The sequence below is a fragment of the Homo sapiens genome, chromosome 17, assembly GCF_000001405.40.
Source record: "Homo sapiens chromosome 17, GRCh38.p14 Primary Assembly".
Classification (NCBI taxonomy): Eukaryota; Metazoa; Chordata; class Mammalia; order Primates; family Hominidae; genus Homo; species Homo sapiens.
In genome coordinates this window covers 72,933,983-72,961,094 of record NC_000017.11, presented here as the reverse complement: position 1 = coordinate 72,961,094, position 27,112 = coordinate 72,933,983, and the positions used below count along the sequence as shown (strand labels likewise).

The 27,112-nt window shown below is 45.2% G+C and overlaps 1 protein-coding gene across 35 annotated transcripts in view, besides 5 other annotated features; it reads left to right on the top strand.

Moving 5' to 3' along the window:
* Positions 1-27,112, top strand: part of SLC39A11 (solute carrier family 39 member 11) — a 446,740-nt gene that overhangs the window by 131,594 nt on the left and 288,034 nt on the right. For 18 of the 35 annotated variants that reach the window (XM_006721757.3, NM_001159770.2, XM_006721755.3 and 15 more), the window contains one exon: positions 13,220-13,364. In XM_006721757.3, coding sequence (XP_006721820.1) covers positions 13,220-13,364 — 145 coding nt within the window. The remainder of the gene's footprint in view (positions 1-13,219; positions 13,365-27,112) is intronic. The other 17 variants (XM_017024335.2, NM_139177.4, XM_017024330.2 and 14 more) reach the window with 1 other exon arrangement.
* Positions 6,125-6,685: an enhancer, noted in NCBI's record as "H3K27ac-H3K4me1 hESC enhancer chr17:70950549-70951109 (GRCh37/hg19 assembly coordinates)". NCBI's record gives its function as "activates a minimal SCP1, AML or CMV promoter by ChIP-STARR-seq in naive H9 embryonic stem cells {active_cell/tissue: H9 hESC(naive)}" and the evidence as "EXISTENCE:reporter gene assay evidence [ECO:0000049][PMID:30033119]".
* Positions 6,686-7,247: an enhancer, noted in NCBI's record as "H3K27ac-H3K4me1 hESC enhancer chr17:70949987-70950548 (GRCh37/hg19 assembly coordinates)". NCBI's record gives its function as "activates a minimal SCP1, AML or CMV promoter by ChIP-STARR-seq in primed H9 embryonic stem cells {active_cell/tissue: H9 hESC(primed)}" and the evidence as "EXISTENCE:reporter gene assay evidence [ECO:0000049][PMID:30033119]".
* Positions 7,457-8,385: an enhancer, noted in NCBI's record as "H3K4me1 hESC enhancer chr17:70948849-70949777 (GRCh37/hg19 assembly coordinates)". NCBI's record gives its function as "activates a minimal SCP1, AML or CMV promoter by ChIP-STARR-seq in primed H9 embryonic stem cells {active_cell/tissue: H9 hESC(primed)}" and the evidence as "EXISTENCE:reporter gene assay evidence [ECO:0000049][PMID:30033119]".
* Positions 8,386-9,314: an enhancer, noted in NCBI's record as "H3K4me1 hESC enhancer chr17:70947920-70948848 (GRCh37/hg19 assembly coordinates)". NCBI's record gives its function as "activates a minimal SCP1, AML or CMV promoter by ChIP-STARR-seq in primed H9 embryonic stem cells {active_cell/tissue: H9 hESC(primed)}" and the evidence as "EXISTENCE:reporter gene assay evidence [ECO:0000049][PMID:30033119]".
* Positions 12,397-13,596: an enhancer, noted in NCBI's record as "BRD4-independent group 4 enhancer chr17:70943638-70944837 (GRCh37/hg19 assembly coordinates)". NCBI's record gives its function as "activates an origin of replication core promoter dependent on BRD2, P300/CBP, MED14 and CDK7 cofactors, and independent of BRD4, by STARR-seq in HCT116 cells {active_cell/tissue: HCT116}" and the evidence as "EXISTENCE:reporter gene assay evidence [ECO:0000049][PMID:35650434]".

The window sequence follows — 27,112 nt, the reverse complement described above, 5'->3', positions numbered from 1 at the left end:
TTGGTGGCTTGTGACTGTCTTAGGCTCGCTCTTTCATGCTGGCTCTTTTGTGCACACACTCTCTCTCACCCTCGTGTTCCTGGAGTCAGGAAAAATCATTTTATGGTTGCCAAAGCTATGAAAAATGTTGATAAGCCATACTTTAACCTTTTTTCCTCAGCAGTGCTGAGATAAAGATCTCTTTTCCAGGATTGGTAATAGAAGCGCTGGTGTACTTACTTTTATTTTTATAAATTGTGGTGAAGAAAAAGGAAGGGTTTTTTTTTTGTTGTTTGTTTGTTTTTTGAGACAAGGTCTCACTATGTTGCTTGGCAGGAGTACAGTGGTGCGATCATGGCTCACTGCAGCCTTCAGCTGTTGGGCCCAAGCGATCCTCCTGCCTCCCTAGTAGCTGGGACCACAGAGATATGCCACTATACCCGCTTTTTAATTTAATTAAATTTAATTTAATTTTTTACTTTTATTTTTTGTAGAGATGGGGTCTCGCCATGTTCAGGTTGGTCTCAAACTCGTGGGGTCAAGGGATTCTCCTGCCTCAGCCTCCCAAAGTGCTGGGATTACAGGCGTGAACCACCACATCCAGCCTGAGGGCTGGGTTTTATAGAAAAATTACCTTCTTGGTTTTTGTAATCTCCAGCTGGTATGACTACAAGAGGCTATTTATCTATCTATCTGTCAATCTATCTACCTACCTACCTACCTACCTACCTATGTATACAAGAGGCTACCTATCCATCCATCTATCTATGATAAATGCTACTGAATCATTTTTATCTATTTATCTATCTATCTATGATGAATGCTACTGAATCATTTTTTAATGATGGTAAACAAAGACATTTATTTGTGAAAGTGATAGACATTTTGAGGCCAAGGGTTCCAGTGCCTTTTCCCCTGGATAAATATGACCATGCTGCTGTGTAAGGAGAAATATTTTGCTGAGTATTCTGCTCATTGAATACAGAATAGAATTGCATTAAACACTGTCCCCTAAAAGTTCATCTGCTGAGTATGAATAGGCTTTATATGTGGCCAAATAAGTATGGGAAATATAGGATTAAACAAAACCCTGTTCTTTACTGCGGGATTTCTCAGAATCTTTATCTGCTTATGAAATAGACCTCACCAAACATATTTGTCTGCAGAATCTTTCCCTTGGAGCATCTCACGAAGCAGGGAACTCTGGGAAATTGTGGTTTAAGACAGAATGAGGAATTAAGGAGATTTTGTCCATGTACAGAGGTACACATGGACTCTTGGCTCCTACTTTGACCACTGGAGGCACAGAGAGTGGTGACTTAAATAGTTTTTGTGATTTTTGAGCTTAGAAGAATCATTGTTAGGTTCTCAATATTAGTATATATTTAAAAAAATTTTTTTCCATAGGTTATTGGGGTACAGGTGGTATTTGGTTACATGAGTAAGTTCTTTAGTGGTGGTTTGTGAGACTTTGGTGCACCCATCACCCGAGCAGTATACAGCACCCTGTTTGTAGTCTTTTATCCCTCCTCCCTCTGCCACCCTTCCCCCCAAGTTCCCAAAGTCCGTTGTATCATCCTTATGCCTTTGTGTCCTTATAGCTTAGCTCCCACATATCAGTGAGAACATATGATGTTTGGTTTTCCATTCTTGAGTTACTTCACTTAGAATAATAGTCACCAATCTCATCCAGGTCACTGCGAATGCTGTTAATTCAATCATTCTTATGGCTGAGTGTAGTATTCGATCATATATATATATATATATATATATATATATATATATATATACACACACACACACATACATACACCAGTTTCTTTGTCCACTCATTGACTGATGGGCATTTGGGTTGATTCCATGATTTTGCAGTTGTAAATTGTGCTGCTACAAACATGCATGTGCAAGTATCTTTTTCATGTGATGACCTCTTTTCCTCTGGCTAGATACCCAGTAGTAGGATTGCTGGATCAAATGGTATTTGTACTTTTAATTCTTTAAGGAATCCCCACACTATTTTCCATAGTAGTTGTACTAGTTTACATTTCCAGCAGCATTGTAGAAGTGTTCTCTGATCACCACATCTATGCAAACATCTACTTTTCAAAATTTTTTTTATTATGGTCATTCTTGCAGGATTAAGGTGCTATTGCATTGTGGTTTTGATTTGCATTTCCCTGATCATTGGTGATGTTGAGCATTTTTTCGTATGTTTCTTGGCCATTTGTGTATCTTCTTTTTTTTTTTTTCTTTTTTCTTTTTTTTAAGACAGAGTCTCGCTCTGTCGCCCAGGCTGGAGTGCAGTGGCACATTCTTGGCTCACTGCAACCTCCGCCTCCCAGGTTCAAGCAATTCTTGCACCTCAGCCTCCCGAGTAGCTGAGGTTACAGGTGCATGCCATCACACCTGGCTAATTTTTGTATTTTTAGTAGAGACGGGGTTTCGCCATGTTGGCCAGGCTGGTCTCGAATTCCTGATCCCAGGTGATATGCCTTCCTTGGCCTCGCAAAGTGCTGGGATTACAGGTGTGAGCCACTGTGCCGGGCCATCTTCTTTTGAGAATTGTCTATTCATGTCCTTAGCTCACTTTTGGATGGGATTGTTTGTTTTTTTCTTACTGATTTGAGTTTATTGTAGATCCTGGATATTGGTCCTTTGTCAGATGTATAGATTGTGAAGATTTTCTCCCACTTTGTGGGTTGTCTCTTTACTCTGCTGATTGTTCCTTTTGCTGTGCAAAAGCTCTTTAAGTCCCAGCTATTTATATTTGTTTTTATTGCATTTGCTTTTGGGTTCTTGGTCTTGAAATCCTTGCCTAAACCAATGTCTAGAAGGGTTTTTCCAATGTTATCTTCTAGAATTTTTATAGTTTCACATCTTAAAGTGCTTAGTCCATCTTGAGTTGATTTTTGTATAAGGTGAGAGATGAGGATCCAGTTTCATTCTCCTATATGTGCTTAGCCAATTATCCCAGCACCATTTGTTAAAAAGAGTGTCCTTTCCCCACTTTATGTTTTTGTTGGCTTTGTAGAAGATCAGTTGGCTTTAAGTATTTGGGTTTATTTCTGGGGTTTCTATTCTGTTCCATCGGTCTATGTGTCTATTTTTGTTGTTGATGATGTTGAGACGGAGTTTTGCTCTTTCGCCCAGGCTGGAGTGAAGTGGTGCAATCTCAGCTCCCTGTAACCTCCTCACCCCTCTAGGTTCAAGCGATTCTCCTGCCTTAGCCTCCTGAATAGCTGGGATTATAGGCGCAAGCCATCACGCCTGGCTAATTTTTGTTTGTTTTTTTTTTTTGAGACAGGGTCTCCCTTTGTCGCCCAGGCTGGAGTGCAGTGGCACCATCTTGGGTCACTGCAACCTCTGTCTCCTGGGTTCAAGAGATTCTCCTGCCTCAGCCTCCCCAGTAGCTGGGACTACAAGTGTGCACTACCACGCCTGGCTGATTTTTATATTTTTAGTAGAGATGGGATTTTGCCATGTTGGCCAGACTGTTCTCGAACTTTTGACCTGAGGCGATCCATCTGCCTTGGCCTCCCAAAGTGCTGGGATTACAGGCATGAGCTGCGGCGCCTGGCCGAAATTTTAAAAAATCTGTGTAAAACTTTCAGACCTCTAAGAATGTATCCTTGTGTCCTCACTGGAGAAGCCCTATTTTAAGTGAATGAGATTGAGTTTGTGGGTTTAAGCTAAAGCAATTGTTTCTAGTCTGGATCCATGGAGAGCTGCAGGGAATTCCTGGGGTTCCTCATATTACACACAACATTTTGTATGTCTGTGCATATGTACTGCAATAAATGGCAAAATAGCCACAAATTTCCCCGTCAGCATCCGTACCTGACAATGTGACATTGCAGGTCCTCCCAACAAAAAGTACCATTGATTCATCCAACCCTTCAATGTGGATACCCATTTACTTGCTTTGGCCACTGGGATGATGCTTTGGCCTCTGTGATGTAGAGACTTGAAAAGCATTTGACATTGGATGCTGAGGTTAGCGTACGAATGAGCTCCATCTAGTCTGCTGGAAGATGACAGGCCCCACCAAGAAGAATCAGTGTTTTCCAGTCAACTCCTGGCCAACTGCCTGCTGGCTGCCAGGTGCATGTGCCATCTTAGACCATCCAGCCCCTCGATGAGCCACCAGCTGACCTCAGATGCACCAGTGAGCCCAGGTGGATGAGCAGCCATGCCCAGTTGACCATAGAACAATAATAACCGGCTGTTTTTTTAAACCACTAAGTTTTGGGGTGTTTTGCTACCTAGCAATAGTTGTGCGATACATACACATTTTTAGGAAAGAGAAATTGTGGCTTTTGATGGATTTTTGAAGGCATCTAATATCCTCCAAAAGGATAACATAGGTCAGAAAAACTTTATTGATAAACACCAGCTGGAGGTTCTCAGTCTGTTGAGAAGCCAGAAAAAGCTCAGAGTGGATTATATGGGTGCATTTTAATAAAGTCTGGGACTAAGTCTAGGATTAGATTAAGAGTGTTGGATAATCATCGAGGATTAGAAAAGAAATACTTCATTATACTTCGGTTACTTGTGTTCTTTTGGATTTCTGTTACTGTTTTAAGGAAAATGATATTTTTGAGCGAAAAGAAAAAGCATAATGCTTTGGAAAACTCTGCCAAGCTCTACCTCTCTGTCAGCCGTGCTAGTAGGAGACCTAGCTCTTTGGAATACAAGCTCAGGGCTGCTTACCTGGAATGGCTACTGGAGGGCTATCTGCAGATTCTCATAGAGCTGTGTCTCTGCAGAGCTGTGTGATGCTTTCAAATCTGTTTTATGTGCTTAAATACGCTTGATTTTGAATAGAACTTTGGCATCAGGACTAGGAAAAGGTTTTGTCTCTCACAAGATAGTTTGAGTAATGGCGTACTTATGTAGCTTAAATATAGCTAGAAGTTCGTAATTAACTTCCACCATTGTGAAGTTTCATGTTAAGGTCATGAAGGTGATGGGGACGAAGCTGGAAGATGTGGCATTGGAGGGATCGTGGGCTTCAGGGTGGAAAGATCTTACCTTAAAAGGGAGTGAGCTAGGCTGTCCCACTCTGACTATTTATGCCAGAAAGGAGGATGGAGATGGAAGCTTTCACTGGGGAGTCATAGGATAGGTATCTACCCGTCCTCATGTGGTCGCAGGGCTGATATTGATTATCTTAATCATCAAGAGGATAGACGGCAGGGGTGGATGGAACGTCACGCTTTTTGGCATTAGCTAGAAAATCGTTAATTCTTTTAAGCCTTTTCTTCCCCTCTGTGCACCAATCCTCTCTTTTCTCAGGGCCTAACCACTTGTGGTTACCCTAGATCGGTATGTTCTGTATTATGCAACATTTCCCTCTTATTTTGGAGCCTCTGTCATTTAGTTCGTTCAGATAAATTAATTGAATTATTGAACACAGACCGTGTGCTGGGCCCTGACAGTAGGGCCGCGAGACACAGCTGCCATTTTGAGCCTCATGGCTTTGAGATGCTTAAGAAAACTGAAAAGTCAGCTGGGCGCTGCGGCTCACGCCTGTAATCCCAGCACTTTGGAAGGCTGCGGAGGATGGATCACTTGAGGTCAGGAGTGTGAGACCAGCCTGGCCAACATGGTGAAACCTCATCTCTACTGAAAAAAAAAAAAAAAAAATTAGCCAGACGTGGTGTTGCGTGCTTGTAGTCCCAACTACTCGAGAGGCTGAGGCATGAGAATTGCTTGAACCCGTGAGACAGAGGTTGCAGTGAGCTGAGATTGCACCACTGCACTCCATCTTGGGCGACAGAACAAGAAAGTCTCAAACAAAAAAAAAAAAAAAAAAAAGAGAACTGAAAAGTTAAAGCCTATTCAGGATACCAGGGGAGGATGGAAGGGAGTACATTTGATCCATACTAGGTTGAGTACATCTAGGAAGGCTTCCTGGAGGAAGGAGCTCAGGCTTCTTTGGCCAAGATTTTAAAAACCTCAAGTGTAGAATAATTCAAAGCTTGAAAACCTGCCTTGCTGTCCACTGATTGGATATAGCATTATTACTGTACAAGGAATGAACTGAAGCTGAGTTAGAGGTACAATCCTAGTGCTTTGGACAAGGCAAGAATTGCATTAAAAAACCAGGAGAGACCAAGTACTTAAACCGTCATCCTCCTTGTCTTTAGGGATTCTGACTATGACCCATGATCCCTGAATGTATAGGTTAACCAGGGCAAAGAAGACAGCGGTGACCTGCCTGACACCCGAGGCAGGACTGTACCCTCTGCCTCAGTGTCTGTGCCACTCTGTGTCCCTGTTTGCTTCTTAGCTGGCTGCTCATCACCGGGAGCCAGCCTGGCCCTGGGCAGCTGCCTGGTGCCGGGCTCCCGAGGAGAGAAGGTCATGTGTTATGTAAGCACCATCCATATTCTGACTGTTGATCAGGGGCGACATTTAATTTTTTTTCCATTATGTGGAATAATTTAAAAGATTGTGTTACGAGTGTCATTATTATGGCAACTTCTCAGTAATAAAAACAGCATCAATTATTGAACGTTGCCTTGTGTGTCTGGGGTTAAGTGAGGATGGCAGGAGGCAGAGGCTGGGGAATGGGAGGAGGCAGCACCTATGCTGGGCCCCAGGCAGGCCACCCGCCAGCCCCTTCCCTGGCAACTGCACGTCCCAAGCCCCTTGGGTGGCTCCTCTTGAGATCCCTGTACCCTTTTCCACTGGCGTGTAACACTTGGCTTCCATGTAGCTGTAGCTGGCAGGGGGCACCAATTAGTCCCCTGACCTTGGCCTTGGCCTTTCCTCAGGGAGCTCTGACTTGTTGACAAGCTTCAATTAAAGAGACTGCCTTCCTCGGATCACTTGAGGTCAGGAGTTTGAGACCAGCCTGGCCAACATGGTGAAACCCTGTTTCTACTAAAAATACAAATATTAGCCGGGCATGGTGGCGGGCACCTGTAATCCCAGCTACTGGGAAGCTGAGACAGGAGAATCACTTTAATTAGGGAGGCAGAGGTTGCAGTGAGCTGAGATCACACCACTGCACTCCAGCCTGGGCAACAGAGTGAGACTCTGTCTCTCAAAAATAACAAATACAAAATTTAAAAAAACGAAGAGACTGCCCTTCATGGGCCAGCAACGTGCAGGGTCATCACAGCCTTAGTTGAATGAAACCTCAGAACAAAATGAACAGAGCTCCCCCGTCCTGAATCCGTGCGATAGAAGGTGTGTGCGGGTTTGGCGGAGGTCAGGTTTGCCTCCCAGACGCTGACAATCATCACAGGTTGCTTTGTTTTGCCATCCTCAGACACGGTTGTTAGTAGCAATGACTCACCCCAGTGAGGAAGAGCCAGAAAGGAGGTGATGGGACTTAAGACCTATTGAAGGTTGGTACTGGGACCTGGAGCAGATGCACCAAGCTGCTTGCAGCAAGGTTTGAGGGCTGCAGGGTCTGCGGTTCTATGACACCCAACGTGCTTTGTAGGGGGGGCCTTAGTTCGCCCTTGTAGACTTAATATGCAGGTAGCTCTGTCCCTTCAGTGATGCTCTGGCCTGTTTCTCAGGTGACTTGTTTCTTTTGGGGGGCTCTGGAGACATCAGCCACTAACAGTTGCCCTCCTCCTGCCTGGGACAGCAGGCCACACTGCACAGCCCCAGGATTTTATTTCTTGAAGGAGATATACATATTGTTTTGTGCAGCCTTTTTGGTTTAATGTAAGGCAAGTTGCAGAGCTGCTTTCCTACCTCCTGCCCCCTCACCTCCTTCACATTATTTCATCATCTTTCTTTCTTTTTCTCTCTATTTCCTCTCTTTTTGTTCTGGAAAGTGCTATTCTTCTTCTTCAGCTCCTGCCTTTCTGCATGGCCTTTCCAAAGTGGGTGGAAGTTGCTCTGTTTATTCCGAGCCAGGGATTGGCCCCCCACCAAGAAGAAGAATCATTATGATAATAATTCCATTCTAAGAGGACAGGAGTCTCAAGTTCCGTGGCCCTGGGTGGTGGGTGGGTGGTACCTCATGCCTCCATTGGCCCACACCCTGCTTTCTGTACTGAGCTGGGTTTGGAGTGGGTGGGGATGCGGGAAGAAGGACAGGGAAAGAGGATCGGGAGAGGGAACAATGGAGAAGGAGAGGGGGTGACCTTGCAGCTGGAGAAAGAGCCCTTGTATTTGACACCTTGACATTTGGGAGCTGCAAGGTGACACAGCACACTTGAACTATTCAGAGCCCCAGAGGCCTACCTGAAGCACTGTGTGTTGTGGAGATGGGAAAGAGTGACTCACTGACCCTCTGATGGGCAGCAGAGCAGACTGTCGGGGCTGCTGTGGAAAGTCAAGAACAGCTTGCGTTGGTCACGTGTTTGCCCTAAGAAGGATCACGCTCGCACTTTGCCGACCTTGCAGGGCTATAAGGATTGAGTGAGGTAATATGGATAGAAAGGCATTGCAGAGATGAAAACCAAATCAAACCAAACCAAACCAGAAATGTAAACAACAATATCAAGTAAAGAAGAGAGGGATGTAGAGAAGGAATTTCTCCCTGAGGGCCTTGGTTCCTCATGCACGGGCCAAGGCTGTATTTATTTTAGGTGTCCTGGTAAAGAGCTCCAGTGCCCTCAACCTGCAGTCCCCATGCCCAGTGAGCAGATGGGGCTCCATGGCAGCAGGGGGGTGGGGGATATGCGGGGCATGTCAGCCCAGCAGGTTGAGAGCCACTTTGCCACAGCAGGAGCTTCTGACTTTCCCCCACCGCCAGGGACGCTATGATAAAGCTAGCAAAGCGAGCTGGCCTCTCCCTCCATGCTGTTTCTTGAAATTCAGAGGGATGTATTCCTCTTCCCTATCAATAATTGAGAGTTGGAGGAATGTTGAGAATCCTGGAAAGGTGTCTAAAAAGAGCCCTGGGAGGCCAGTGCCTGGGATCAGAGGCATGTGGAGGTTTTGCCAGGTATGGAGATAGCGAAGGAGCTGTCCTTGGCATTACTCCGGAGATACTTTCTGTAGCTCCCACGCTGCATAGCTGACCCTGGTTGTTCTGAAGGCTAAATGTTGGAGGGAGCACATGGGGGAAGCGGGGGGTACAGGCGGGAGTGGGTACAGGTGGAGATAACGGATCTCTGTCTAGCTTTTAAAAGGGCAGCTTCTAAGTGAAGTTAGGGCGGGATTTTCTTAGTGCTCGTCTCCCTGCCCCGAAAACGCCGAAATAAAGCAATGCAACCCACAGAATATAGATTGATAGAAAGGTGAAAAGAGATGGAGGGGAAGAGGGAGTCAGTGTTTGAGCAAAAACCTGAAAGTAAGGGAAGAACAAATACCATCTTCCCACAAAGACCTCTCTTGGCATCTTCCCTAAAGGAACACTGTCTTTACAGTTAATAATGGGCTAGTACATGTAAAATGCTTGGAACATCACCCGGCACAAACCAGAAACCAGCCTGTATTATATGGGCTAGGTTCTGGTTTGTGCCAGGCAATGTTTTGGATGGCTGTGAATTACAGATATGGCTTATTTTTCTTTTGGCATTATCACTACCTGACACTCTTATTTTTTAGTTTATCATGATGGGTTTATTATCATCTGTCTCTCGAAGGAGAATGTAGGATTCATGAGGACAGGAGACTTGGCTTTTTTGAATTGCCAGTACCTGGAGCATCTCTGATACAGAGTTGACACTTAACAGAAATCTATGGGATGCGTGAAGGTGAGCAGGGAGTCTTCCTAGAGAAACTAGCGAAATTCTTCTCTTTACAGTAAAAAGAGGGTCTGTGAGTTTCCAGCATTACAGGGAGCTATGGCGTCCTGATTGATCATCGTAACTCTTTCTAAAGCAGGTATCTGAAGCTCAGCACTATTGACATTTTGCTGGCTTTTTTTTTTTTTTTTTGCAACAGGGTCACTCTCCGTTGCCCAGGCTGGAGTGCAGTAGTGTGATCTTGGCCCACTGCAGCCTCGCCTTCCTGGGCTTAAGCAGTCCTCCTGCCACAGCCTCCCAAGTAGCTTGAGACTACAGGCATGTGCCATCATACCTGGCTAATTTTTTTTTTTTTTAAGAAATGGGGCCTCACTATGTTGCCTAGGCTGGTCTCGAACTCCTGGGCTCAAGTGATCCTCCCACCTTGGCCTTCAGAAGTGCTGGGATTATAGGCATGAGCCACTGTGCCTGGCCCTGGCTCATTCTCTGTTGTGGGGGCTGTCCTATGCATTGTTGAATATTTCATAGCATCCGTGGTCTCTACCCACTAGAGATATCAGCAGCATGCTCAGCCCCCCAGTTATGACATTCCAAAATGCCCAGTGCTCAGTGTCTTCTGGGTGGGGGGGACAAAAATCACATAATTGAAAACAAATGTTCTAAATGAAAACCAGGGTCTCTGTAAGCTGCACCTTACCAGATGGGCTTCAATCAAATACACAGTTGCAGCTTAATGCGTATTAATGCTGCGGCATTTCTTCTGTAATGAAATGGTTCTCCTTTTATTCCTTCCCCCAGTTACGCATCAATCACATTATAAAAAGAAAGAAGACAAAGGAAGGAAAATCAGCTGACATACTTTCATAGTGAAACATATCTTTTATTGCTGCAGTGATTCCTCGGATGTCAGCAGGAGATGTAGAATTAGAAATAATTAAAGCATATAAACAAACAAAGAGCTGTGACTCCATGGCCCGTGGCATATCACACAGACACCAGGTGTCAGCAGGGTTAGGGAGGGGGGTTTCTACAGAGGGAGAGACCGGCCTTCCCAAAGCCTCTCTGTTCCCAGGATTCTGGCCATCTGTAGGTCTACCTTAACCGTGATACTGCAGGGCAGCTGCCTTTATGTGACAGAAGAGGTGGATACCCAAAGGGGACTGAAAACTTGTACAAGGGTAGCTCAAACAGGGGCAGGAGGCTTTTTTGTGTGTGTTTGTTTAGTTGAGACAAAGTTACATGGGGGTGTTGGCACCTTTATTAAAAGACATTCATAGAGGACATCGCAAATAAGTGATGACAGTAGCGATGTCTAGACAAATGAGAATAGATGAGAGGAAGGGCATATGTGTTCATTTTCAACATTTGGTTGGAAGCAGATAATGAAATAAAAGATCTGAATCATTAGGTTCTCTTTCTTAACTCTCATCATCATGACAGTGAAAAAACAAGAAGGGGTGTGTGTGTGTGTGTGTGTGTGTGTGTGTGTGTGTGTGTGTGTGTCACAGCAGCCTGGTATCCCTTTTGTGAGATTCCTTCATGAAAGGAACTTATCCAAGAAAATTGTTTTAGTATTTTTTAAAATAAATGGATGCATTTATGTGATTAGATTTTAAGCCTTCTCCTCTCCCGCATTAGAGACACATGTTTTAAATGAAAACTTGTGTTTGTTTGGACCTATTTCTGCTTGGTGCTGTGGCCTGAAAATGTTTGCATCCCCTCAGAATTCCTATGTTGAGATCCTAACTGCCACAGTGATTGTATTAGGAGGTGGGACCTTTGGGTGATCATTAGATTATGAGGGTAGAACCCTCATGAGTGGGATTAATGCCGTAATGAAAGACGTGTGAAAGAGACCCATTGCCCCTTCCATAGCTAGCCTGTGCCGTCGTGAACCAAGAAGCAGGCTCTCACCAGTCACTGACTGTGCTGGTACCTTGATTGGAATTTCCTGCCTCCAGAAACTGTGATACATTTCTGTTGTTTAAAAGCTGGCCGGGTGCAGTGGCCCACACCTGTAATCCCAGCACTTTGGGAGGCCGAGGCAGGTGGATCACTTGAGGTCAGGAGTTTGAGACCAGCCTGGCCAACATGGTGAAACCCTATCTCCACTAAAAACACAAAGATTAGCCCGGCGTGGTGGTGAGTGCCTGTGATCCCAGCTACTCGGGAGGCTGAGGCAGGAGAATTGCTTGAACACGGTGGGGCAGAGGTTGCTGTGAGCTGAGATTGCACCACTGCACTCCAGCCTAGGTGACAGAGTGAAACTCTGTCTCAAAAAAAAAAAAAAAAAAAAAAAAAAAAAAAAAGCTGCCCAGTGTATGGTATTTTATTTTATGGCAGCCTGAACAGACAGAGACACCTAGGTTTCAAGAAATATCTACTATTTTTTGCCAATTGAGATGATTCTGCCTCCCTTCCCTTAGCTTTGAGGTGTTTGGATGAAAGTGGAGGTGCTTGTGTAGTTGGTTGAGTCTCTCCTCTGCCTTGTTGTTCCTGTTGAGATCCTGTGCATTTGTAAGTGGTCAGTGGGGTTGGGGCTTCCAGATGATGCCTTTGGAAGAGAAGCTTACCACCCCATTGTGGATTCATTTATTTACTCCCAAGCGGAACACAAGCTTCAGAAGAACCGGGACTTTGTCTCTTTCACTAAATATACACAGAGTTGGCAGTTAATTAATATTTGTCAAATAAATGTGAGGATCAAACGCACGATTTTGCCTGGTTAATGCGAAACAGTCAAACTGATCAGTGCTTAACTAGTTAGGACAAAGCTGAAGAATGACATGATTGTTTTAAGGTCATCTGGAGTTAACTCTAAATATGTGTGCATTCTCTGCAACTCGCACTGCTTCCTTCCTTTGAGATGGTTTTGTTTGGATCTCCTCTTTTGATCTCATAAGACACGTGAAGATGTGGAGATGGTGAATTCCAAATAAGTTGACCGTGGTTCCTGTACTGAGACTGCCATTCACGTGAACCTGCCATATGGACTTCTTTTGATAGATCAGGAACCAACTTCATTGCTCATTTGCCCGGCAGTGATGATGCTTGCAGTGGGGTTTTGTGTGCGTGCGGCGATGACGCTTGCAGTGGGGTTTTGTGTGCGTGCGGCGATGACGCTTGCAGTGGGGTTTTGTGTGCGTGCGGCGATGACGCTTGCAGTGGGGTTTGGTATGTGTGCGGCGATGACGCTTGCAGTGGGGTTTTGTGTGTGTGAGGCGATGACGCTTGCAGTGGGGTTTTGTGTGTGTGCGGCGATGACGCTTGCAGTGGAGTTTTGGTGTTTGGGTCCCAATCTTTCCTGGTATATATTTTCCCCATTTTTAGGATCAGCACTGACTTTTTAGATCGTGTTGTTTTTTTCTTTTTTGTAACCACTAAAGTCCTATACCTGGAAAGTTTGTCATCTTCCTGAAGACCCAGCATGGCCTGGCAACTGGGTTGGCCGGAGGACTGGCTCAGCTGTGGCGGTCTTGGTAGAGACTGGCAAGTTGCCTTGGCGCCCGTGAGCCAGAAGCATCTGGGGAATTAACACAGTAGTGGTGCTCTAGTGATGTTACCGCTTCTTGTTTCAGGGTGCAGCAGAAGACCCCCAGACGACCCTGGCACTGAACTTCGGCTCTACGTTGATGAAGAAGAAGTCTGATCCTGAGGGTCCCGCGCTGCTCTTCCCTGAGAGTGAACTTTCCATCCGGATAGGTAGAGCTGGGCTTCTTTCAGGCAAGCTCTTTGCTGCAGACACTGAGCTGAGTCAGGCAATATGGACGTGGGGGCTGGTGGTAGGATGAATAGTGAGAGAAATGCCAGCACTGTCCTATCCCTCCGAATCACTCACCCTACTACTGCATGGAGCTAAACTGGCATCTGGCCCAGCACCTTCATTTCTCATTTGTTGTCCAAACCACATGCTTAGTCTACAGAAGGTAACGGTACCTTTTGATCATCTTTTCGACTTGGACAGGTGGACAGTGGGGTCACTCTGATGGTGATGGGGCTGCTTTGGGTTAGAGAGTACCAGCATTTGTCCCTCAGTGTCCCCCTCTCTGATGAACCCTGAATACTCCTTTTCATTTGTGTTGTAATTTACATCTTTTTGATTTACCTGGGGAGACTGCTGTGGATTTTTTTTTTCCCCCCGAGATGGAGTCTTGCTCTGTCGCTCAGGCTGGAGTGCAGTGGCGCCATCTCAGCCCACTGCAACTTCCACCTTTCAGGTTCAAGGGATTCTCCTGCCTCGACTTCTCAAGTAGCTGGGACTACAGGTCCATGCCTGGCTAATTTTTTGTACTTTTAGTAGAGATGGTGTTTCACCAATTTGGCCAGGCTGGTCTTGAACTCCTGACTTCAGGTGATCTGCCTGTCTCGGCTTCCCAAAGTGCTGGAATTACAGGCATGAGCCACTGCACCTGGCCAACTGTGGACGTTTCTCTCACTGATTCAATTTGGAGCCAGAAAAGCTAAAGATGCTGACAGCATAGTCATGCCTTTTCTCTGAGTTAGAGGGAATGCGTCCCTCAAGAGGAATCAGACAGCAATTACTGAAGCTGGGTGGGGAGAGATGCAGAGTGGGCTGTTGCCCTTTGAGAAGTTGTTGAAGATGGAATGCAATACATTGTTTTCCAGCCTCGGGGTCAGACGCCTCTCCTTCTTGCCCCTCATTGTTTACTAAGGACACTTGGCTAGTTTAAGGGCCAGTGAGCATGAGGAGAGTTGGATGCCTTTTTTTCCCCTTTGGATTTATATAGAAGTTCCCCATTTAATCCTGCAAGACCCCGGGGACGAAAACCATGCCAGGATGCTGTGGAGAATGGGCCCCTCCTCGCTTATGTGGAGTGCTCTCCTGAGTGAATTAAGGAAAAACAAATTGGTGACCAGTCACTGTGTTCACAGGAGTGATTTCAGGGAGAACAGTCCTTTCCCATTTCCATGCTGGCATTTTAATTGAATCTTTTTGCCATCTCTATGCTAAGATGATCTCTACCCCTTAGGGAGAGCAAATGTACAAAAGTTAAAGCTATGCTGCAGCCAGGGCTCTGGTATCTGTGTTCAGATTATGTCCTGCATGAATTATTCATGGAGAACTCAAATGTCTTCTCCATTTGGGTTAATCCTCACTGCCGCCCACAACTTCCTACGTGGGATGGAACCAGGAAATAAAAATTTCATCCAATGTGAGCTTAAATCATAGAGGGTTAGAATGACAAATCTTCCTCCTGCCTCCAATCACACTTGTCACTTATACCCATCAGAACGCTTTAGGTATCATCTTCTCTTTTTACTGGAACATAGTCAAGGACTGTCTGGTGACACAGTAGAGCACTGTATTCAAGTAAAACTTGTCATTTTTCATGCTGAGTTCTGAACACAAGGCCACAGGCCTTTTCTGTCTATTTTCACTAACATGACTGCGCTGGGCTCCTGGGTTCCCCTTTGAAGACCTTATGATCCTGATTGTGAGTCTTCTCTAGGGTATAAAAGTTGGCCAGACTTTATCTGATTTTTCTATCTTCAGGGCCATGGGCTGGTGGGGTCGGGGGAAGGTGGTACAGTGAATTCAGTGCCTGTCAGTCAAAAAAGGTAAACATTGGCAAGCCCTTGGATGGACATTTTCCAATGGAGTCACAGCCGGGACGGGGTCAGGGGAGTTGGCTCTGCAGGACAGCCTCTGGGTACTGCTGGGTCTTCTTGGCCAACCCAGAGTTAAGTGGTAGCGGAGTGAGGTGTGTGGGAGGGAGATGTAACCCAGTCCCCCTGCTCAAGAACACTAGGCACAGCCTGTTACCGGGTTACCAAGCAACCCTTGTAACCGTTGCTAGCTGTTCAGCTGCAAAAGCAAATGCAGCTCTTGGGGAAGCACAGAGATGATCTCCCAGCCATCTCTTGAAAGGTCGCTGTTCTTCTCACCTGGACACACCTGTGGGTGTCAGGCACCTGAGGACTCCAAAACTGATAATGGCTATTTGATAACTGGCTTCATGCAGATGGAGCCTGAATATGCATTATTTGTACCATCTGGATTTGCCCTTAAGCTTGCTGTAAATGGAGCAAGGAGATGGGTTTAATGGGTATTTAGTGAATAACATTAGCCTTTAAAACATCATATTGGTGCTGCTGTTGTAATGTCCCATAATTGGTTCGACCAGAGGAAGAACTAGAAAGGCCACACTCTGGGAGAGGAGTTCAGCTGCTCTGAGGAGCAGCAGCAGTGACGGCAGCCTGAGCTGGGAAAAGCATTTATGAGATACTTTCCTATTTAGGTCTTAGTGTGCAATGTTTTCTGATATCAGCTATTCTCAAGGCTGGGGATATTTTGGGACTTAGGTAGGCCAGAAGAAGTTCCTTTAAATCTATCAGTCTCTCTTTCTTTCATTCTCTCTCCCATCCATCCATCCATCCATCCATCCATCTCCAATTAGCTTTCTTTTAATTAAAAATATAATGACATCGGTTAAAAGTAATTTTTCTTCCACCTTCAAATCCCTTATGGTCTAGTCCCCCCATCTCAGACACAAACATCGTTTCTAGTTTCTTGTGCATCCTTTCAGAATTATCATGTTTCTATAATCACACCTGACCCATTGTTCTGTATCATATGTTTTTGCACTTAACGGTACCCTTGGGTGTTTTTTTCCTGAGGTGCTCATAGATCCATCCCATTCTTGTTATTGGCCATGATGCTACCTAATTAGCCCTCTCTGGATGCCCATGGGGTTAATTCTGATGCTTTGCTATTGCAAAGAATGTGGCACAGAGCATTTTAGTATCTACATCTCTGTGGACAGTTATATTGTTGAGTAAATTCTAGAAATGAGGCCAGGAGTTCTTTATGTCTGGGCTCCATGCATGAGTACCAAAGGACTCACGAGCCTCTTGCATTTTATGCAAAGTCTGTGTGTGTGTGTATGTGTGTGTGTGTGTTTGAAAGGCAAGGGACTATAAGTTATATTTCATCACACCCCAGATGGCTGCATACACCCAGTGTTGTTCAAGATCTTGGGCTTCTCTGTCTCAGTTGTCCCCACTCAGCTGTCAAGTTGAGTTTTTTTTCTTTTCTTCATAGCATCCTCTGTAGGCTAAAGAGAAGGTAGTTAAAAGTGAATCAGTTGATTCTCTTACTAATTGTTAATTTCCCCATTTAAATATGCAGTATGTTCTGGGGGAGGAAGTTGAAATGTTACCAAGCATCAGTGGGCTTGCTGCCCGATGCACACAGAGGCCAATACCGTGGCACTGGCTTTTGAGAGAAGAACAGCTTTATTGGGAGTCAAGTCAACTGGCAGGGAGACAGGAGGGAATGCCCAAATCTGTCTCCCTGAGCTGGGGGTTGGGTTGGGTTTTATAAGCATAAGTAATGAGGTGTGATCTGATTGGATCTTGCAATGAGGTGACGTTAGGAGGCATTATCTGATTGGATCCTGTCATGGGGTGATGCCAGAGTTCAATCTCATTGGATCCTGGATCCTGCCATGTGGTGTCTGCTTCTTAATTCAGTCCCACTCCTCTGTCCCAGCACTTAGGTTCCCCCTGTGGTTGTACACTTGGTTCATCTGAGCATGCTTAGGTTACATGACCTGAGGGTCCATGGCAACTGAAAAGCAGCTCACAGCTTTGTTACATAAAAGTTGAACCAGATTGGTCTGATGCAGTTATAGATACTCTTCACTAGTGAACTTTGTCATCACTATTATTATTGGTGAATTTCATCGGTCTATTAGCATAGGAGAATTGCCTATCATTTTGTGTATCTGTGGAAAGACCAGGAGAAGGCATTATTTTCTGGTAGAGCAAGAGGTGGATTTACTTTAGGAGATTATTCAGTTGTGAGGTGCCATCTGTGCATTTTCTGTAAATCTTTCTGAAGTGTTGGGGGAAAAAGTGAATGGGTACTCAAGTCAGGGAAGCGTAAGCCGTACGACACTCAGGTAAGAAACAGATTTTTCTCTTAATGCCCTATTCTTATAGGAAAATTCACTTGGCAATAAGAATTCTGCCTACACAGCCTTGCAGATCTGATGCAATTATCAAAGCCATGTTTTGCAAAATGAAACTGATGCCAAGCTCGTGTCAAGTGGATTATAGATTGTAGAACTGCAGTCACTGGCCATTAGCTGAGTGTCTTTGTTTTCTACTCTAAAATCTTGAATTCCTTATTGGTTCTGCTTCTGATGTGCTGCGTGGCACTCTTCCTGTGGAAATGGTCTTGCAGGAGATGATTTTCCTTTCTAGCTCAAGCTTCTCAAGTGCCCAACCCCGGATCAGCAACCCCAGGGCTTGTCCTGTTCGGGAACACGATGGAGTTCAGTTGCTCTTTGATCCCCTTCTTCCACCTCAAGACACTCTCTCTTCTCCAGGTATCACAGTGTCCTCTTTCAGTCTTGTATTTGGAATCATCCCTTTCTCCCATTTTCCCTGTTAAACATCCTCCCTTAGGTGCCTTTGGAAAAAGATTTGATGAACTGAAGAACAGGGAGGTATTGGCCCATTGACTTCATGTTTTACTACTGCTTACGTGTTTGTCTGTTGACTGGGAACGGTTTCTCTAGTTCAACAATGAACCCAATAGGTGGGTTTTCACACTGGCTAGGCTTTGGAGGATTGCATTTTTTTAGACATAATGTGTGGGGCTTAGGGAGGGCAGCCAGGCAGTGTGGGATGCAATCTCTTCTCTGAAGCAGCTGGTTCTCGCTATAAGCTCAGCCACGTACATTCCACTCCCAAGTTTCCTTGGCGCTAAAACTGCTTGGAATAGCCTAAGCCTACGGAAGCAAAGATGACTTATTTAAACAGCTTCATGGTTCCTATTACCTTTCTTTTTCTGTATCTTCTAACTTTCCATGTCTTCCTGAAGGACATGTTCCTTTTGTCACTGATATTTCCAGTCAAATTTAGTGATCTTAAATTTGATCGAGAGTGAGGTGTAACTCCTAGGAGAAATTCTGAGTGTTTATAACTAGGTTTCCGAAATAATGTGTTTGGGGAAGTCTCTGAGATGTTATTAATTTTGACTTTTTATTGGTAAGATCTCTAAAAATGAAAGAGTATTTTCACAACAGTTCATGTAGATATAATTTCTTGGCATGTGGTTTTGGCAATCAGAGTTTTATTTATTTATTTTTTTCCCTGTACCTGCTTGGTTAGGGGAGACTTTAAAATCTTGTCCTGGCCCAATTGAGAGGAGTTATCTAGGAACTGAAAAATAGGTAGGCCCTGGCTGCTACCTCCTTTCTGGGCTAAGACCCGTAACCTGGGTTTCTTCATTTGAAGTGTGAGAATGCACGTGTAATCCCAGCACTTTGGGAGGCCGAGGCAGGTGGATCACCTCAGGTCAGGAGTTCGAGACCAGCCTGGCCAACATGGTGAAACCCCTGTCTCTACTAAAAAAAAAATAATAATAATACAAAAATTAGCCAGGCGTGGTGGCACATGCCTGTAATCATAGCTACTTGGGAGGCTGAGGCAGGAGAATCACTTGAACCCAGGAGGCAGAGGCTGCAGTGAGCTGAGATTGTGCCACTGCACTCCAGCCTGGGCGACAGAGTGAGACTCTGTCTCAGTAAATAAATAAATAAATAAATAAATAAATAAATAGAATGAAGCAAACCAGCGTTAAAATGTGCCGCACAAAAATATTTTGCAGGAGGGCAAAGGGCTCAATAATAATAACTGCCAGAAGCTTTTTCGCATCTGGATATTAAATAAACAATGCAGAGATACCTTCTTGGACAGGGATCTGTGCAGGCAGCATGAGACCGTTAGTGTCCTAGCTCATGGGAACATTATCAGGGTGGGTACGCTTTATAGAGTCTTTTGCTTCTGAAGAGTGTTCTATTTGGCCTAATATGGAGCACTCAAATAGCACTTTATCTGCTTCTGCCTTTTAAAAAAAAAAAAAAACACAGTCCTGATTTTCTAAGCCAGGCAGTAATTTCAGAGCAAATTTTCATGTGGCATGAGGCTAGAGGCAATTTGGCACTCACATGTGTTTGCTAGGGCTGCTGTAGCAAAATACCACAAACCGGGTGGCTTAAACTGCAGAAATTTATTTTTTTCACAGTTCTGGAGGCTGGAAGTCCAAGACTAATAGTTGGCAAGATTGGTCGGTTTCTTCTGAGGCCTTTCTCCTTGGCTGGTAGATGGCTGTCGTCTCCCTGTGGCTTCACATGGTCTGTCTTTTTATCGAGACAGAGTCTCACTGTGTCACCCAGGCTGGAGTGCAGTGGTGCGATCATGGCTCACTGTAGCCTCAACCTCCTGGGCTCAAGCTATCCTCTCACCTCAGCCCCCGGAGTAGCTGGGACTACAGGAGTGCGCCACCACACCTGGCTAATTTTTGTATTTTTTTGTAGAGATGGCATTTTGCCGTGTTGCCCAGGCTGGTCTTGAACTCCTGGGCTCAAGCTATCCACCCACCTCGGCCTCCCAAAGCGTGGTCTTTCCTCTGTGCCTGTCGGTGTCCCAATCTCCTTTTCTTATAAGGACACCAGTCATATTGGATTAGGGCCCACTCTAATGACCTCATTTTAACCTTATTAACACTTTAAAAATCCTATCTCCCTTACAGTTACATTCTTAGGTACTGGGCGTTAGGACTTCAACATAGAAATTTGAAGCGGGGGACGTGATTCAGGCCATAGTTGCGCTGAACAATTTTTTGAGAAGTTGTCTTCCAGAGATAGTAGTTAGCTTCAAGGAATTCCAGGTGTCAGGAGAAAGGAGTTCTCTTTGTTTCTGCCTTCTAGATTCTCTCACTGCATGGCTGCCTCCTTACGTTAGCCTCATACCTGCATGGGCTGGGAATGCAGACTATGCAGGATGAAAAAAGAGTAGAATGAAGTTGAAAAGTTACTCAAAGAGTGCAGCGAGAAAGAAAGTCAGGGCCGGGCGCAGTGGCTCACGCCTGTAATCCCAGCACTTCGGGAGGCCGAGGCAGGTGGACCACCTAAGGTCAGGAGTTCGAGACCAGCCTGGTCAACATGGTGAAACCCCGTCTCTACTAAAAATGCAAAAATTAGCCGAGCGTGTTGGCACATGCCTGTAATCCCAGCTACGTGGGAGGCTAAGGCAGGAGAATCACTTGAACCTGGGAGGTAGAGGTTACAGTGAGCTGAGACCACGCCATTGCACTCCAGCCTGGGCGACAAGAGCAAAACTCCATCTCAAAAAAAAAAAAAAAGTCAGATGGCTCTAAGTCTGATCTTTTAAGACTGCTGGCAGGTGTACATCTATGCTATCATGAAGTTAAAGGGATGGCACCGTTAAAGGGATGACCGCTTCCACTGTCACCTGAAACAGTCGGCTCAGTTAACTTCTGGGGAAATAATTGCAATACACATCTGAATGTGTAGAAGTTCTCTCCTGACTGTGTAAGTTTCCTGTTGCTGTCACAACAAAGTACATATTGAGCATCTCAAATCTGAAAATCCAAGATCTGAAATGCTCCCAAATCCAAAACCTTTTGAACGCTGACATGATGCTCAAAGGAAATGCTCCTTGGAACATTTTGGATTTCACATTTTCAGATTTGGGATGCTCAACTGGTAAATGATGCCAGTAAAATAATGCAAATATTCCAAAATCTGAAAAATCTGAAACACTCTGGTCCCTTCAGAGAAGGGATGGTTATCTTGTACTATACAGAGCTGCTTAAAACAGCAGAAACGTATTCCCTTACAGTTTTGGAGGCCGGAAGTCTGAGATCAAGGTGTCAGCAGGGCCACACTCTCTCGAAAATTCTAGGGAAATTTTCTAACTTCTTTTGGCCCCCAGCGTTTCCTGGCTTGTAGCTGCATCAATTCAATCTCTGCCCACATTGTGACCTTCGTCCCTGTGTGTGTCTGTGAAGTGTGTCTATGTCCAAAACTCCGTATCCTTTGTCTCATAAAGACACCAGTCATTGGATTTAGGGCTCACTTAATCCTGTATGACTGCTTCTTAACTAATTACATCTGCAAAGACCCAATTTCTAGGTAAGGTCATATTCTTTTTTTTTTTTCGAGACGGAACCTTACTCTGTCACCAGGCTGGAGTGCAGTGGTGCAATCTCAGCTCACTGCAACCTCCGCCTCCCGGGTTCAAGCAGTTCTCCTGCCTCAGCCTCCTGAGTAGCTGGAAACAGGTGTACGCCACTACCCCCAGCTAATTTTTGTATTTTTAGTAAAGATGGGGTTTCACCATGTTGGCCAGGCTGGTTTCGAACTCCTGACCTCAGGTGACCCACCCACCTCGGCCTCCCGGAGTGCTGGGATTATAGGCGTGAGCCACCACGCCCTGCCTAGGTAAGGTCATATTCTGAGGTTCTGGCTAGACATGAATTTTGGCGGGGGACAGTATTCAGCACTGTACATTGACCAACCCCATACTCTGATCACTCCGTGACCAGACTTCAGGAGCTTGGTTCGTCTGAGGCGCCATGTTTGTCTTATACAAAGGAGGAAGATGGATAAAATGAGAGGAAGCAAGAGGACGAGTCCTGGCAGTAATAAAAGTCCACTTAATTCATCTGGAGCCCTTAGAGCAGCTGCTGGGGTGCTTTGTTTGAAATATTCATTAAGTATCTACTGAGGAGTTAGGGATACAGTCTCCTTATGCAAAATTTAACATTTGCTTGGTTAGCAGGTTCTATCATATTTATAAGCATTCTGACACATTCATTTCAGCTCATAAGTCTATTAAACTGGAAAATGTGTTTTTAATGTGCTTTAGGGAAACAGAAAGAACAGACAAGTGGCTTGGGTAGCAGCAGCCTTCATTAGGATATTCCTGCCAGGCTTTTATTTGTCGAAGATTTAAGAGTCTGTGCCTGAAGCCACACAGCCTGGGCGCTTTTCATATTATTATTTTGCTTTGTTTTGCAGCAGTTATTTTTGCAGAAGCTCCTTCTGGGGATGCAACAGGGTGGCACGTTGGTTTTGAGTGCTTGGGATCTTTAGGAGTCCTTTGCATTTATTCACTCCCATGTCAACCTTTTGCCTGTTACTAAAAGTGCCTAATAAGGAACAGAAGGCTGGATTTGAGCCTGTGAAGCTGGGAGGAAATTGACAGCAGTTACTGGAATAGTCAGCCTTCGAGAAGGAAAGGGTTAGGAGGAAGATGTGGAACTGGGCTTTGAACCTGCGTGAAGTACAGAACAGCGCTAACCTTTGGGATGGGGCCCATGTAACACTTCCCTAAAGAAAGGAATCAGGGATATGCTCCACTCGACCTGCATTTGCTTTTTCCTGTTCAACCCTCCGTCTCCTTTCTGGGTGGCAGGTATGCTAGCATTCTGTTCTGCTTTCTTCTCTCTGGTGTATTTTCCCTCCTGAGTCCAGAGAAAGAAAATAGCTCTGCATATCTGAAAATTAAATCAGTTGTCTCAAGGAAACATGATTTTCAGAGTTGCAACGTGATTTTGAGGGTCGTAACATTTTGAAGCTGGATGTTCAGGGATTTGCCAGCAACTCCCAGCTTAGGTCTCTGAAACAGAATTCACTCTCTCTGTCTGCCAACTTCTTGATTACACAAACTCACCATGAGCTTGTTGGGAGGCAGAGGCATTCCGGGAGGATGGCAGAGGAGAGAAGTGCATGATATGGTCTCTTACAGCTCTTAGATGTGGTGAGCCAGAAGTCTCTGCTCTATTCCCCCAGGAGACCAGGCTCACCTAGCGGTTTCTGCCTTGGTGAGGTTTGCTCAAGTCAATCTTAGTGAATTGGTTGTGCCCTTTCCAGTAGGGAAGGCCCTGTCGTACACATAAAACCAGGAGACACGTGCCTTCAAGGAGATTCAGCCCTCCTGGGGAAACAAATATGAGGTCGTTTTGTATGGTCCAGCATGAAAGCTATATAAACCACTAGCAATCATATAAGTGGGTCCCACCACTGTGCTGGCCTTAGTGGGCCAGCTTTCCTAACTCCTCTGTAGCGCAAATCATGCCTTTACTGCCTTACAGACCTTCTGAGGCCAGCTGGCCAGTGAGATTTATTATTTATTTATTTATTTTTTGTTTGTTTGTTTAGACGGACTCTCTCTCTCTGTTGCCCAGACTGAAGTGCAGTGGCGCAATCTCGGCTCACTGCAACCTCCGCCTCCCAGGTTCAAGCGATTCTCCTGCCTCAGTCTCCGGAGTAGCTGGGATTACAGGCATGCGCTACCATGCCCAGCTAATTTTTGTACTTTTTTTAGTAGATACCAGGGAGGGGGGTGGTTTCACCATGTTGGCCAGGCTGGTCTTGAACTCCTGAGCTCAGGCGATCCACCCGCCTCGGCCTCCCAAAGTGCTGGGATTACAGGCGTGAGCCAATGTATCTGACTGCCAGTGAGATTTTATTCAAGGTATGAGGATGAGCAAATATAGTAAATAACAAAGAGAGAAGGATATCAGCTGACCATGGCAAAGGCAGCCCTCAGAGCCCACTGGCGCTTGCTAACCTCTTGGGACCCTCTACCGCAAGGGTCCCCAACCCCTGGGCAGCAGACCAGTATGGGTCTGTGGCCTGTTAGGAACTGGGCTATGCAGTGGGAGGTGAGTGGTGAGCAAGTGAGCATTACTGCCTGAGCTCTGAGTCCAGCCAGATCAACAGCAGCATTAGATTCTCACAGGAGCGAGAACCCTGTTGTGAACGGCACACGTGAGGGATCTAGGTCGCGCCTTCCTTATGAGAATCTAATGTCTGATGATCGGAGGGTGGAACGGTTTCATCCTGAAACCACCCCCTACCCCCCACCTCCTATGTGTAGAAAAATTATCTTCCATAAAACCAGTCCCTGGTGCCAAAAAGGTTGGGAACTGCTGTTCTCCAGGGAGAGTCCCTGTCTGGCTCCAGGGCTAGGTTCTTACTTAGTTCCATGTCTTTAGAGGCAGAGTTTGAGGTTTGGTTTTTCTCAGGTCTTCAGATCTGCCTGCCCAGAGAGAGGTCATTTCCACCACCTTGGATAAAGAAAGTGAGGCCCGGCCAAGACTTGCCTTCCAAATTTCCATTGCCTTTCCTAGGATCTCCTGTTTGTTCCCCGGGTAATTGCCAGGGGAATTTTTTTTTTTTTTTTTTTTTTTTTTTTTTTACTTTTTTTCAGATGAGATACTGCCATAACCTGTAGTTATACCCTGTGGTCTCACCAAAACAAGGATGCCAGGATTCATTAGTTCATTAGTATAAGCCACACTGCACATTGGGATCATCTCGGAAAATGTGCAACTTGGTCTCAAAAACCCTGTGAAATACAAATTGTGACAGTCCAAGCTCCCTGGTCATTTCTTTTTTGTTTGCTTGTTTTGGAGATAGCATCTCACTCTGTCGCCCAGGCTGGAATGCAGTGACGTGATCTCGGCTCACCACAACGTCTGCCTCCTGGGTTCAAATGATTTCCGTGCCTCAGTTTCCTATGTAGCTGGGATTACAGGCGAATACCACCACACTCAGCTGATTTTTGTATTTTTCAGTAGGGACAGGGTTTCGCCATGTTGGCCAGGCTGGTCTCAAACTCCTTAGCTCAAGCGATCCCCCTGCCTTGGCCTCCCAAAGTGCTGGGATTATAGGTGTGAGCCACTGTGCCCAGCCTTCATGGCCATTTCAAGAATTGCTGAGGTGATAGCCAGGCACAGTGGCTCATGCCTGTAATCCCAGCACTTTGGGAGGCTGAGGCGGGTGGATCACGAGGTCAGGAGTTCAAGACCAGCCTGGCCAACATGGTGAAACCCCGTGTCTACGAAAATACAAAAAAAATTAGCTGGGCATGGTGGCGCGTGCCTGTAATCCCAGCTACTCAGGAGGCTGAGGCAGGAGAATTGCTTGAACCGGGACCCGGGAGGTAGAGGCAGCAGTGAGCCAAGATCGTGCCACTGCACTCCAGCCTGGGCTGCAGAGCGAGACTCTGTCTCAAAAAGAATTGCTCAGGTGATAAAGGACATGAATATTTTTAAAAATTTATTCTTTAAATTAATATATCATAAAGCTCATTCTTTTGGAGTACAGTTCCACGAGTTTTTAAGAAATGCACAGATCTGTAACCATCACCATAGGAGAGTTCCATCACCTCCCCATATTCCCTTGAGCAGCCTCTTGGCCCCTTGTAGTTAAACCCTACCCTCAACCTATCCCTGTTTCCCTTTTGTTTAACCTCTGGTGACCTCTGAGCTGTTCTCTGCCCCTATATTTTTGCCTCTTCCAGAATGTCACCTAAATGGACTCATGCAGTATGTAGCCTTTTGGATCTAACTTCTTTCTACTTGGCGTCATGCATTTCAGAGAACTTCATTATGTTGCAAGTGTCAACAGCGTGTTCCTTTTTAAGGCTGAGTAGCATTCCATCGTGTGGATACACCACAATTTGTTTACTTTCACCAGTTGAAGGACATTTGTGTTGTTTCCTGATTTTTCAGCAATTATGAATGAAACGTCTATCAATATTGGCATACAGGCTTTTGTGTAAACATATGTTTACATTTCTCCTGGCTAAATACCCGGGAGTGAGATGGCTGGGTCATGTGATAGGAAACCTCCAAACCGTTTTCTAAAGCGGATAAGCCGTTCTTCAGTCCCAGCAGAGTTCTAGTTGCTCTGCACCCTCACTAGCCCTTGGCCTCATCACTTTTTTGTTTTGTTTTGTTTTTAAAACTTGAGCCATTCTAATGAGTGTAGTAGTGGTCTCTGGTGACTTTCATTTGTATTTCCCTAATGACTAATGATGTCGAGCATCTTTTCATGTGCTCATTTGCCATCTGTACATCTTCTTTGGTGTCAAAATCTTTTGCTTGTTTTTTAATCCATTTGTTTAATTATGGTAGAGTTTTGAGAGGCTTTTTATTTTGAGATGGAGTGTGGCTCTGTTGCCCAGGCTGGAGTGCAGTGGCGCAATCTCGGCTCACAGCAACCTCCGCGTCCCAGGTTCAAGCAATTCTCCTGCCTCAGCCACCCGAGTAGCTGGGACTACAGGCACACGCCACCCTGCCTGGCTAATTTTTGTATTTCTAGTAGAGACGGGGTTTCACCATATTGGTCAGGCTGGTCTTGAACTCCTGACCTCAGGTGATCCACTTGCCTCAGCCTCCCAAAGTGCTGGAACTACAAGTGTGAGCCACTGTGCCCGGCCCCGAGAGTTCTTTTTCTGTATTCTGCATAGAGGACCTTTGTCAGATATGTGATTTGCATTTCTTTTTCTCCCAGTCCCTGGCTTGCCTTTCCCTCTTCTTAACAGTGCCTTTGGAGATCGAAAGTTTTTAATCTTGATGAACTGCCAATTTATCAGTTTTTCTTTTTTTTTGTTTTATGAATTGTGCTTTTGGTGTTACGTCTAAGAATTTTTTGCATAACTTAAGTTTGCAAAGGTTTTCTCCTATTTTTTTTTTCTAAAAGTTTTACGTTTTACATTTAAGTCTACTATCTATTTGAAGTTTCAAAAAAATATGGTGTCAGGTAGAGTTCAAGGTTGAGTTTTTTTTTTTCATATGGATGTTAAATTGTCCCAGCAGCATTTATTGAAAAGACTGTATT